Source organism: Homo sapiens, chromosome 4 (genome assembly GCF_000001405.40).
Source record: "Homo sapiens chromosome 4, GRCh38.p14 Primary Assembly".
Lineage (NCBI taxonomy): Eukaryota > Metazoa > Chordata > Mammalia > Primates > Hominidae > Homo > Homo sapiens.
In genome coordinates this window covers 187,053,584-187,065,001 of record NC_000004.12, presented here as the reverse complement: position 1 = coordinate 187,065,001, position 11,418 = coordinate 187,053,584, and the positions used below count along the sequence as shown (strand labels likewise).

The 11,418-nt window shown below is 43.1% G+C and overlaps 1 long non-coding RNA gene across 8 annotated transcripts in view, besides 3 other annotated features; it reads right to left on the bottom strand.

Annotated features, from left to right (window-relative positions):
- Positions 776-1,276: an enhancer, noted in NCBI's record as "H3K4me1 hESC enhancer chr4:187984880-187985380 (GRCh37/hg19 assembly coordinates)". NCBI's record gives its function as "activates a minimal SCP1, AML or CMV promoter by ChIP-STARR-seq in primed H9 embryonic stem cells {active_cell/tissue: H9 hESC(primed)}" and the evidence as "EXISTENCE:reporter gene assay evidence [ECO:0000049][PMID:30033119]".
- Positions 3,758-4,265: an enhancer, noted in NCBI's record as "H3K4me1 hESC enhancer chr4:187981891-187982398 (GRCh37/hg19 assembly coordinates)". NCBI's record gives its function as "activates a minimal SCP1, AML or CMV promoter by ChIP-STARR-seq in primed H9 embryonic stem cells {active_cell/tissue: H9 hESC(primed)}" and the evidence as "EXISTENCE:reporter gene assay evidence [ECO:0000049][PMID:30033119]".
- Positions 3,786-11,418, bottom strand: part of LOC102723906 (uncharacterized) — a 220,555-nt gene continuing 212,922 nt past the window's right edge. For 2 of the 8 annotated variants that reach the window (XR_007058501.1, XR_007058504.1), the window contains one exon: positions 3,786-7,076. This is a non-coding gene — a long non-coding RNA (uncharacterized LOC102723906). Of the gene's footprint in view, positions 7,077-7,184; positions 7,522-11,418 lie in introns of those variants that run through there. The other 6 variants (XR_939594.3, XR_939593.3, XR_007058502.1 and 3 more) reach the window with 6 other exon arrangements.
- Positions 4,266-4,773: an enhancer, noted in NCBI's record as "H3K4me1 hESC enhancer chr4:187981383-187981890 (GRCh37/hg19 assembly coordinates)". NCBI's record gives its function as "activates a minimal SCP1, AML or CMV promoter by ChIP-STARR-seq in primed H9 embryonic stem cells {active_cell/tissue: H9 hESC(primed)}" and the evidence as "EXISTENCE:reporter gene assay evidence [ECO:0000049][PMID:30033119]".

Genomic DNA, 11,418 nt, shown 5'->3' with positions numbered 1-11,418 from the left:
ACCAAAAAGTTATTTGAATATACATATAAAATATAAGCTTCTGGGCATATTTTAATTTAAAAGAAATCAATGCTTTTCTAAAATAATTTTAATTACTGGAATTGTCCATCATCATTACGACATTATGTCTTTCGTTTTCGTTTTCTTTTTCTTTTCTGTTTTTTTTTTTTTTTTTTTTTTTTTTTTAGAAATGGAGTCCGGCTCTGTAGCCCAGGCTGGAGTGCAGTGGAGCTATCTCGGCTCACTGCAACCTCCGCCCTCCAGGTTCAAGTGATTCTCCCACCTCAGCCTCCCAAGCAGCTGGGACTACAGGCTCGCACCACCATACCCAGATAATTTTTGTGCTTTTAGTAGAGACAGGGTTTCATCATGTTGGCCAGGATGGTCTCCTTCTCTTGACCTCGTGATCCTCCTGCCTCAGACTCCCATAGTGCTGGGATTACAGGCGTGACCCATCGCGCCCGGCCACGTCTTTCGTCTTCTCATTCAATGTGATCGTGTGCTCAAATTGTCCTCCTCCCAGTGGGTAATGGGCACACACTGACCTTGTGAAAAAAAACGAACTCCAACAAATGTTTTCCCCACTTCGGTTTGTGACAAAAAAAAAAAAAAGACAAAAACAAACAAAAAAACTGAGATGCGGACCTAGGATGGAGACTAAGCCAGCTTTCTGCATGGCCACCGGCAGCGAGGAGAGATGCGCGTCCGTGCGCGGCCAAGTGCAAGAACAGAGAACGGCCGGGAGGAGGCGGGAGCCGAGCGCGGGGAGCCCGCCTGCGTGGGGCCTCTGTGCTGCAGCCTCCCGGGAACCTGCTCGCTCCGCTCCCACAGCCGCCACCTCTCCCGCTCCTCTTCCCTCACTTTTCCCCGCGTATGCAGGAGCTAATATATACATTGTATTCGTTTATGTAAACGAATAAAAACTGCAGCGTTCCGCCGCAGGTAAGTATTTAACCCTTATCGCCCTCCTATTTGCCACTTCACCTGAAAGGTACTGGCACACATATTACCCTTTTACTGCCTTGTAAGTCGTATATGTGGGACCTTTGAAAGAGAAAAGGTGCCTGTTGGGAATGGGGGGAAGCAAGTCTGCGCTGTCGCTGTGCAGGGGGAAGAAGACGCAGCTCTGCACAGCGACTCCAGAGGAGGCCAGTGTCTTCCGCGGCTAAACACTCCAGGTCAGGAAGCAACGCGGACGACTTTCCTTTAAAGAGAAATGGAGAAAACCTGGGAATGCGGTCCTGACGGGAAAGGAGAAGGCTGTGACCTCATGCCCAAGAGCAAAGAGAAAGCGTTTGCTCACTTGGAAACCCAGGAACTGTGTCAGATGCTGAGTTCAGGCATTGGGTGTCCGAGCACAGAAACCGTGTGCCCAGGACAGTCTTGAGTACCACGAAGAAGTCCCGGGACGGCCCTGGGTACCACGAAGGAAGCCTCGGGACGGCCCTGGGTACCACGAAGGAAGCTCCCCATGAAGGAAGCCCCAGTACGGCCCTGAGAACCACGAAGGAAGCCCCGGGACGGCCCTGAGAACCACGAAGGAAGCCCCGGGACGGCCCTGGGTACCACGAAGGAAGCTCCCCACGAAGGAAGCCCCGGGACGGCCCTGAGAACCATGAAGGAAGCCCCGGGACGGCCCTGGGTACCACGAAGGAAGCTCCAGGAAGCCCTGGGTACCATGAAGGAAGCTCCAGGACAGCCTTGAGAACGACGAAGGAATTCCCAGGAAGCCTTGAGTACCACGAAGGAAGTTCTAGAGCTCTAAGAAAAGTCTGGTTTTCATGTGTTTGACTGCTTTAAAAGCAACACAACATTCGGAGCCAGGGAAGGCAGGGATAAAGGCTGCTCTTGATGAGTTCCATCAGAAAACTTTTTTTTTTTTTTCCTGGATCAGACAGAACCCACTGAACAGAGATGAAAATATTCTCTTCAGAGTTTGGTTAATTCACTAAGGATTGGAATAAGTCTTCATAACTCTAAATTTAAAAAAATATTCAGTGAGTTAGTAGAACATCATAGAAAGCATGGATAGCCATGAAGCAGAAAGGAGCAGAAGCTATTACAGAAGACGTTTGGTAAGCTAGAATGGTTTTCTATCATAAAAAATTCTGAAAATTAAATAATTTGAAATGGGGGTTATTAAGCCTGTTGCACAGTCTTTAAACAAGGGCTAAGTACTAAACCAGGAGTTCGAATCTCTTTTTTTTTTTTCTGAGACAGAGTCTGGCTCTGTCACCCAGGCTGGAGTGCAGTGGTGTGATCTCAGCTCACTGCAACCTCTGTCTCCCAGATTCAAGCTATTCTCCTGCCTCAGCCTCCCGTGTAGCTGGGATTACAGGCACACGCCACTGTGCCTGGCTAATTTGTGTGTTTTTAGTAGAGATGGGGTTTCTCCATGTTGGCCAGGCTGGTCTTAAACTCCTCACCTCAGGTGATCCACCCGCCTTGGCCTCCCAAAGTGCTGGAATTACAGGCGTGAGCCGCAGCACCCCACCTTAGAATCTCTCAATTTAAAAAATCCAGTGTGTTCTTATATATCACGGATTGTATTTTAAGTCTCGCATAATTTTCTCTTAAACCTCACAAGAGTTATTTGAGGTGGCTTTTGTTATCATTCACAGATGACACTGAACATTGGGATGACAACATAAGCAACCTGGTGTTATTATCTCATAATTGCAGGAGCAAGAATTTGAATCTGAGTTTCCTTAAAGGTAAAAGTTTTGCCTTTTTACTATCCTGCTATGATTCCTGAAGATCTGAATTTTTATGAATGCTTTATAGACCTCAGTCCGGGAAGTTCCCTATGGTCGTGACTAAATGATTGTAGCTTATAAGAGGCTAGGGTTTAGGCAAAAGCTGGTGTTAGAGTCCTCCTGCTAACTGGGAGAGTCAGTGCCCCAGATGAACATGAGTCTGCAGAACTAGTTGTCATGAGTCTAGATGATATCAGCTTCATTCTCTGTCTCCCTCTCTTATTCCCTAAATCTATCAGTAAGTTTAGGTATGCAGGAGGGTTAGAGTTGCCACCTGTCTTAGGTGAGGTTCTCCAAGAAACGGAGCTGAGGTTAAATTTGCAAGAAGAAAGTTTGAGAGTTTCTCTCCAGATCAATACCCATGGAGAACTGAAGGAAGTGGGATTGGGTAGACAAAGGAGTTGAATTGTGGTGTAGCTACAGCAAAGGCTTGCCACCCCTTCAGCTGCCAACATTCCAAGAAGCTGGTGGAGTAAGTGCTTCTGTCCTAAAGGAGAGATGGGGCAGTCATCAGAGCTTCCACAATACCTCTGCCTTCTGTGAGTCCGCTTAGACCAGCTTGGTGGACAAAGCACAGGCCAGGCTCACGCAGCAAGTGGTAGACTCTCTCTGGGTGCCTGGCTCACCAGCAGTAGCAAGGATCACCCCTAACTTACTCAGTCACTGTCTCCACAAAGCAATGCCACATTCAGGAAGTGCTGCTTCCTTAAAGATCCAGAGGTGGAAACTGACAAAGTCACTACCAAGGATTTAACTGTATGGATTAGGGCCTTGCTGGGGGTTGGTGGTCTGGGCTCAAACTAGAGATGCTCCCTGGAAGTGGAACACTGTATCCAGCCCGTTTTTTGACCCTGCACATATGATACAGGCTCCAAAGATCATCTGAAAGAGGTTTCATAGAGGAAAAATGATTTGCTATGAACCTGGAGTAAACCAGGGCACCACATCCTGACATGGACCGCTGGGCCAGCTCAGCCATGTCGTAAAGGAAGTTAATCTCTGGGCTTAACAAACACCTATATGTCACACTAAAGGAGTAAAATATCCTTTATTCAAGGTAGGGTATTGCACTCTATTATTGTCGGAATGATCTCAGTAACTATTTTCCAAAAATCAGATGTTAAATCACATTACACCCTAAGAGTCTTTGTCTACAAATGATTGCTGTGGTTTAGAGAGCTTTCATTCCCTCGATAAAAAACTGTTGAATACCTACTATGTGCCAACCAGTATTCCAGTCAGTGTGGACAAAAAAATTACCGAAAGAGCATTTCCTGCCATCCAAAATGACACAGATTAAAGACACATAAACAGCTAGTTATAAAGCAATTTGATCAATTCCACAGTAATGTACAAATTGCTATGGGAGCCCAAAGGAAGGAGTAATCAGGCAAGCGTGACAATCACACACTTGGAAGTGCTGGCAGGTGCTGAACTGCGCGAGGGGGCACAGCTTGAACCCGAAGGGCCCTGGAGTCTCGGCCCTGCCTCGGTCACCGCTGACACCACCGCTGTCCGCTGACACCACCGCTGTTTGTGTCGCCATCCTCGCTGGGGCAGCAGAGGCAACTCTAGGACGTTGGTAACAGGAGAGCCAGAGAGGGAGAAACAGTCAAGTAAGGCAGGTCTTCGGAAATGGCTTTCCACAAAAGCCAAACAGAACTTGATACTTGCATTCAAAGAAGATGCAGATATAAAAAAGAATAGAAACGTGATTAAACCGCCAAATCCTTTACTCCTTTTCCTCTTGTCATAATCTCAGCCTTTCTCATTGATACATAGCTTATTATCACAGAACATGGACCTTAATTTCAAAACCACATTGAAGGACTCGCCCCCGCCCCGCCCTCACACACACACCCTCTCCAAAAAACCTGCTTCCTTTTTGAAGAGTTATTTTTGCTTAGGCTTCATTCTTGCATGCATCCACAGCTTCATTTTTGTTTGGAGTTTTAAATAGCAGTTAAAAAAAAAGAGCTTACCTCTTTGAAAAGCAGTGTAACGTCTGGCTCTGTGTTTCTCCTGCCACCTGGGAAAATGACTTCAGATGGTCTGTTGGGAACTACTCACACGGTAGCTCCCTCCCACTCACAGGCAAAGCAGTCCCCTCCTGAGGCTACAGACTGAGGGAGGGAGCGGGGCCATGTCAGCTTAGAGAAGGCGGGCACCTTTCTTCCATGGTTGTCCTGCAAATTGCTTTACCACTAGGAGCCTAGAAGGAGGAGTTTAGAACCATCTGTTTTTCCTTGACAGTTAGGAGTAAAATGGATTTTAAGATGAAAAAGTTTATATATGGCTATTTTTTTTGGCTTTCCAATGTTGTGATTTTTTTATTTTTATTTTACTTTAAGTTCTGGGATACATGTGCGGAATGTGCAGGTTTGTTACGTAGCTATACATGTGCCATGGTGGTTTGCTGCACCCATCAACGGGTATATATGACTATTCTAACCTAAAGTGAAACTTGACATGCAGAAGAAAGTAGTGGGAGATGCAGAGACATCTCTACTAGTTTAGAAATTTGTGTGAGGTTTTGAATGTTGTGAGCTCCTAAAAATTTAAGATGACTTTCTGATATAAATAAATCATGAGTGCCAGAATTAAATACATGGTATTTGTATAAGAAGACCCTTGTTTTCCTTCTGTGCTGTGTTATTGTTTGATGTCTATGAAACAAGGTTGTGAAAAGAGTGAAAATCTGCCAAGAGAAGGAATAAGAGAAAAACATGGATGGATTCTCATGGAAAGTACCCACTTTGCAGAATGGCATCTGTCCTGGTAGATCTCACCCACAGTGATGGCCTGTGTTTTCAGGATGCATCCAACAGGCCTCCTCTTGCCCTCCTGAGGCTGGAATGGCCTTGGCCACACTGTAGGGGCAGAAAGGAGACCAACGCACGTGCAGAGACTAAAACTGGAGAAGACAAACTTGAATTCCACAGCACTCTGGCAGGACCCGCAGGGTGGCCCAGCACACTGCCCACCACAGTGACTCACGCAGCTGTCTGCCTCTGATGAAACCACGCGCCAGGGGCCCTCAGCTACAGAGGCACTCCACAGCGAATACTCCCTTCCGTGTGGTTAATGGGCCAAGGAGAAAATCACTGTTGGTAGTATGTTCATTAGAATTCTGTGAGAATAATAGTGAGAAGAATTTCATTGGCTGGGATTCTAAAATGCGTCAGGCACTGGGATGGGGACTGGAAAGGCTTTATCCCCAATTACAGTTCTGTTATATAAATAATGTATTCCTCAGAAAATTAGAAGCCAAAAAGTTAAATGACTGAACAATGTTCACATAACTAGCAAGTTGCAGAGGTTGTGGTTGAACCTAATATTTCTGACTCCTGAAAATTTTCACAGTCTCACTGTGGATCCCTTAAATAATGGTGCCGTCAGGTACCATTCATCAAGCATTTACTGTGTACCTGATTTTCTTCTATGCATTTTACATATATCCTCTTATTTAATCCCCGCCATCAGTTTTGCAGTCAGTGTTATTTCTGTTTGCAAATCTCTTATAAAGGTGAATGTTTGACAACCTAGGTAAGGTTTGGGGATAGTTGTCATCTGTGATACAGAAGGCAAGCCGGGTCTTTGTTGTCAATCTTGTTCAGGGAGCAGATTGGACATAAAGTTGTCTACATCTTGACAATTCCGTAAGAGTCTCTAGAAATATTAGCCAACACTGTGCTCCTTGTATATTTCGTATTGCCGTGAGTGAATCAGGAATAGCATCTTTTACCCACAGAGGATAATAACTGCATTACACTGATAACAGTGATTAAGATTAGAACAAGTTTTGGGGTCATCCCAACCTGGTTTAGAACTCTGCTTTTTTCAATATGACCCTGTAGATACTATGTAAGCTTTCTAAGCCTCCATTTTCTCATTTGTAAATTATAGATAATAATACCTACCTTGTAAGTATTCTTGTTGTGCAAATTAGATAAGGTGACACCCATAAAACACTTAGTACAGTGTCTGGCAGCTACTAAGTGCAAAATAATTGGTAGCTATAGTTATCTTAAAACAAGAAATAATCACATTTTATAGGTTGAACCAGTTAGGATTGGATATAGCTGTGTTTAACGGGAAAAATATAGCAGTGGCCTAAAGAAGATAAAAATGTACTTATCTCTCATGAAAAAGAAGCAGAGAGCAAGTACTCCAGGACACATACGGTGACTCTGCGGTGTCATCAGGGAGGCCCAGGCCATTGTCTTTGTTCCAACATCTAGACAGTGGCTTCCATTCTCAAGATCACTCATGGTCCAAGGTGGCTTCAGCAGCTTAAGCCAGGACATCTGACTTTTGGGCCTAACGGAGAAAAAGTAAGACAAAAAGGCACCCCTGAAGCTGAGTAAGCTCCCTTTAAGTCACCTTCCGAAGAGTCCTATGCAACTTGTCTGCTTCCATCTCACTTACCAGACCATAGCTACATGACCACACTATGCCACAAGAAAACTCAGAAGTGTCGTCTTTTATTCCAGGAAAAATGCCCAGCTGAAGGTATCAGGATTTGTTTCTAAGAAGGAATGGAAAGAAATATGCTGGAGAAAGCAACTGGCAGAGGCCCTGCCATACTGGGTAGGAAGGATCTCACCATGACGATGCACGTCATGCTGATGGAGTAGTGGTGATCTCTTAGTCCGCTATTTCACTATGAAGATGAGTAAACGCTCATCTGCGGAGGCAACAGGATGCATGAAGGATCACAAGTGAGGCAGCGGCAGTGTCCACAGAGAACTCAGACCTTCTGACTTCCAACTGGTTCAATGTATTTTTCATTCAAATTCACTGCCTTTCTTATAAATGACTTTGGCTTTTTGAAAATCCCCATTTAGGCCGGGTGCGGTGGCTCACGCCTGTAATCCCAGCACTTTGGGAGGCCGAGGCGGGTGGATCACGAGGTCAGGAGATCGAGACCATCCTGGCTAACACGGTGAAACCCTGTCTCTACTAAAAATACAAAAAAATTAGCCAGGTGTGGTGCTGTGCACCTGTAATCCCAGACACTTGGGGGGCTGAGGCAGGAGAATGGCATGAACCTGGGAGGCGGAGCTTGCAGTGAGCCGTGATCGCGCCACTGCACTCCAGCCTGGGTGACAGAGCAAGACTCCATCTCAAAAGAAAAAAAGGAAACCCTCATTTAGGGATATTAGATAAGTATTTCTTTTAAAGCTTTCAGGTCTTGTTTTGTGATTTTTCTGCATCAGTTAACAGCTTGTCACTCCCCAATATAGAACATGTCTTCCTTTGTAATCACGGTTTGTAATCACTAACAGCCATTTCACCAAAGGCGATGAATACGATTCTGTTAGTTGCTCCATGGATATTGTTTTCTAAGCCTTTAATTATTTTGTTACACTCCTCTCAGTTTTTTTCATTACTCTTCCAGTCTACAATTTATTCTATAAAGATATAGTTTGCCCTTCCTGCGGTTATATAGCCCATGGAAATATTACAGAATATAAAATTTGCAAGCTTATGTTTTGTTTTGTTTTGTTTTCCACTGGTTAAAGCAATAATAATTTATTATTGCTCATGAGTCTATGGGTTAAATAGACAGTTCTGCAAATCTTTTTTTTTAAATTATTATTATTATACTTTAAGTTTTAGGGTACATGTGCACAATGTGCAGGTTAGTTACATATGTATACATGTGCCATGCTGGTGCGCTGCACCCACTAACTCGTCATCTAGCATTAGGTATATCTCCCAATGCTATCCCTCCCCCCTCCCCCCACCCCACAACAGTCCCCAGAGTGTGATGTTCCCCTTCCTGTGTCCATGTGTTCTCATTGTTCAATTTTCACCTATGAGTGAGAATATGCGGTGTTTAGTTTTTTGTTCTTGCAATAGTTTACTGAGAATGATGATTTCCAATTTCATCCATGTCGCTACAAAGGACATGAACTCATCATTTTTTATGGCTGCATAGGATTCCATGGTGTATATGTGCCACATTTTCTTAATCCAGTCTATCATTGATGGACATTTGGCTTGGTTCCAAGACTTTGCTATTGTGAATAGTGCCACAATAAACATACGTGTGCATGTGTCTTTATAGCAGCATGATTTATAGTCCTTTGGGTATATACCCAGTAATGGGATGGCTGGGTCAAATGGTATTTCTAGTTCTAGATCCCTGAGGAATCGCCACACTGACTTCCACAATGGTTGAACTAGTTTACAGTCCCACCAACAGTGTAAAAGTGTTCCTATTTCTCCACATCCTCTCTAGCACCTGTTGTTTCCTGACTTTTTAATGATTGCCATTCTAACTGGTGTGAGATGACATCTCATTGTTGTTTTGATTTGCATTTCTCTGATGGCCAGTGATGGTGAGCATTTTTTCATGTGTTTTTTGGCTGCATAAATGTCTTCTTCTGAGAAGTGTCTGTTCATATCCTTCGCCAACTTTTTGATGGGGTTGTTTGTTTTTTTTCCTGTAAATTTGTTTGAGTTCATTGTAGATTCTGGATATTAGCCCTTTGTCAGATGAGTAGGTTGTGAAAATTTTCTCCCATTTTGTGGGTTGCCTGTTCACTCTGATGTTAGTTTCTTTTGCTGTGCAGAAGCTCTTTAGTTTAATTAGATCCCATTTGTCAATTTTGGCTTTTGTTGCCATTGCTTTTGGTTTTTAGACATGAAGTCCTTGCCTGTGCCTATGTCCTGAATGGTAATGCCTAGGTTTTCTTCTAGGGTTTTTATGGTTTTAGGTCTAACGTTTAAGTCTTTAATCCATCTTGAATTGATTTTTGTATAAGGTGTAAGGAAAGGATCCAGTTTCAGCTTTCTACATATGGCTAGCCAGTTTTCCCAGCACCATTTATTAAATAGGGAATCCTTTCCCCATTGCTTGTTTTTCTCAGGTTTGTCAAAGATCAGATAGTTGTAGATATATGGCGTTATTTCTGAGGGCTCTGTTCTGTTCCATTAATCTATATCTCTGTTTTGGTACCAGTATCATGCTGTTTTGGTTACTGTAGCCTTGTAGTATAGTTTGAAGTCAGGTAGTGTGATGCCTCCAGCTTTGTTCTTTTGGCTTAGGATTGACTTGGTGATGCGGGCTCTTTTTTGGTTCCATATGAACTTTAAAGTAGTTTTTTCCAATTCTGTGAAGAAAGTCATTGGTAGCTTGATGGGGATGGCATTGAATCTATAAATTACCTTGGGCAGTATGGCCATTTTCACGATATTGATTCTTCCTACCCATGAGCATGGAATGTTCTTCCATTTGTTTGTATCCTCTTTTATTTCATTGAGCAGTGGTTTGTAGTTCTCCTTGAAGAGGTCCTTCATGTCCCTTGTAAGGTGGATTCCTAGGTATTTTATTCTCTTTGAAGCAGTTGTGAATGGGAGTTCACTCATGATTTGGCTCTCTGTTTGTCTGTTGTTGGTGTATAAGAATGCTTGTGATTTTTGTACATTGATTTTGTGTCCTGAGACTTCGCTGAAGTTGCTTATCAGCTTAAGGAGATTTTGGGCTGAGACAGTGGGGTTTTCTAGATATACAATCATGTCGTCTGCAAAAAGGGACAATTTGACTTCCTCTTTTCCTAATTGAATACCCTTTATTTCCTTCTTCTGCCTAATTGCCCTGGCCAGAACTTCCAACACTATGTTGAATAGGAGTGGTGAGAGAGGGCATCCCTGTCTTCTGCCAGTTTTCAAAGGGAATGCTTCCAGTTTTTGCCCATTCAGTATGATATTGGCTGTGGGTTTGTCATAGATAGCTCTTATTATTTTGAGATACATCCCATCAATACCTAATTTATTGAGAGTTTTTAGCATGAAGGGTTGTTGAATTTTGTCACAGGCCTTTTCTGCATCTATTGAGATAATCATGTGGTTTTTGTCTTTGGTTCTGTTTATATGCTGGATTACATTTATTGATTTGCGTATATTGAACCAGCCTTGCATCCCAGGGATGAAGCCCACTTGATCATGGTGGATAAGCTTTTTGATGTGCTGCTGGATTTGGTTTGCCAGTATTTTATTGAGGATTTTTGCATCAATGTTCATCAAGGATATTGGTCTAAAATTCTCTTTTTTGGTTGTGTCTCTGCCCGGTTTTGGTATCAGGATGATGCTGGCCTCAAAAAATGAGTTAGAGAGGATTCCCTCTTTTTCTATTGATTGGAATAGTTTCAGAAGGAATGGTACCAGTTCCTCCTTGTACCTCTGGTAGAATTCGGCTGTGAATCCATCTGGTCTTGGACTCTTTTTGGTTGGTAAGCTATTGATTATTGCCACAATTTCAGCTCCTGTTATTGGTCTATTCAGAGATTCAACTTCTTCCTGGTTTAGTCTTGGGAGAGTGTATGTGTCGAGGAATTTATCCATTTCTTCTAGATTTTCTAGTTTATTTCCATAGAGGTGTTTGTAGTAATCTCTTACGGTAGTTTGTATTTCTGTGGGATTGGTGGTGATATCCCCTTTATCAATTTTTATTGCGTCTATTTGATTCTTCTCTCTTTTTTTCTTTATTAGTCTTGCTAGTGGTCTATCAATTTTGTTGATCCTTTCAAAAAACCAGCTCCTGGATTTATTAATTTTTTGAAGGGTTTTTTGTGTCTCTACTTCCTTCAGTTCTGCTCTGATTTTAGTTATTTCTTGCCTTCTGCTAGCTTTTGAATGTGTTTGCTCTTGCTTC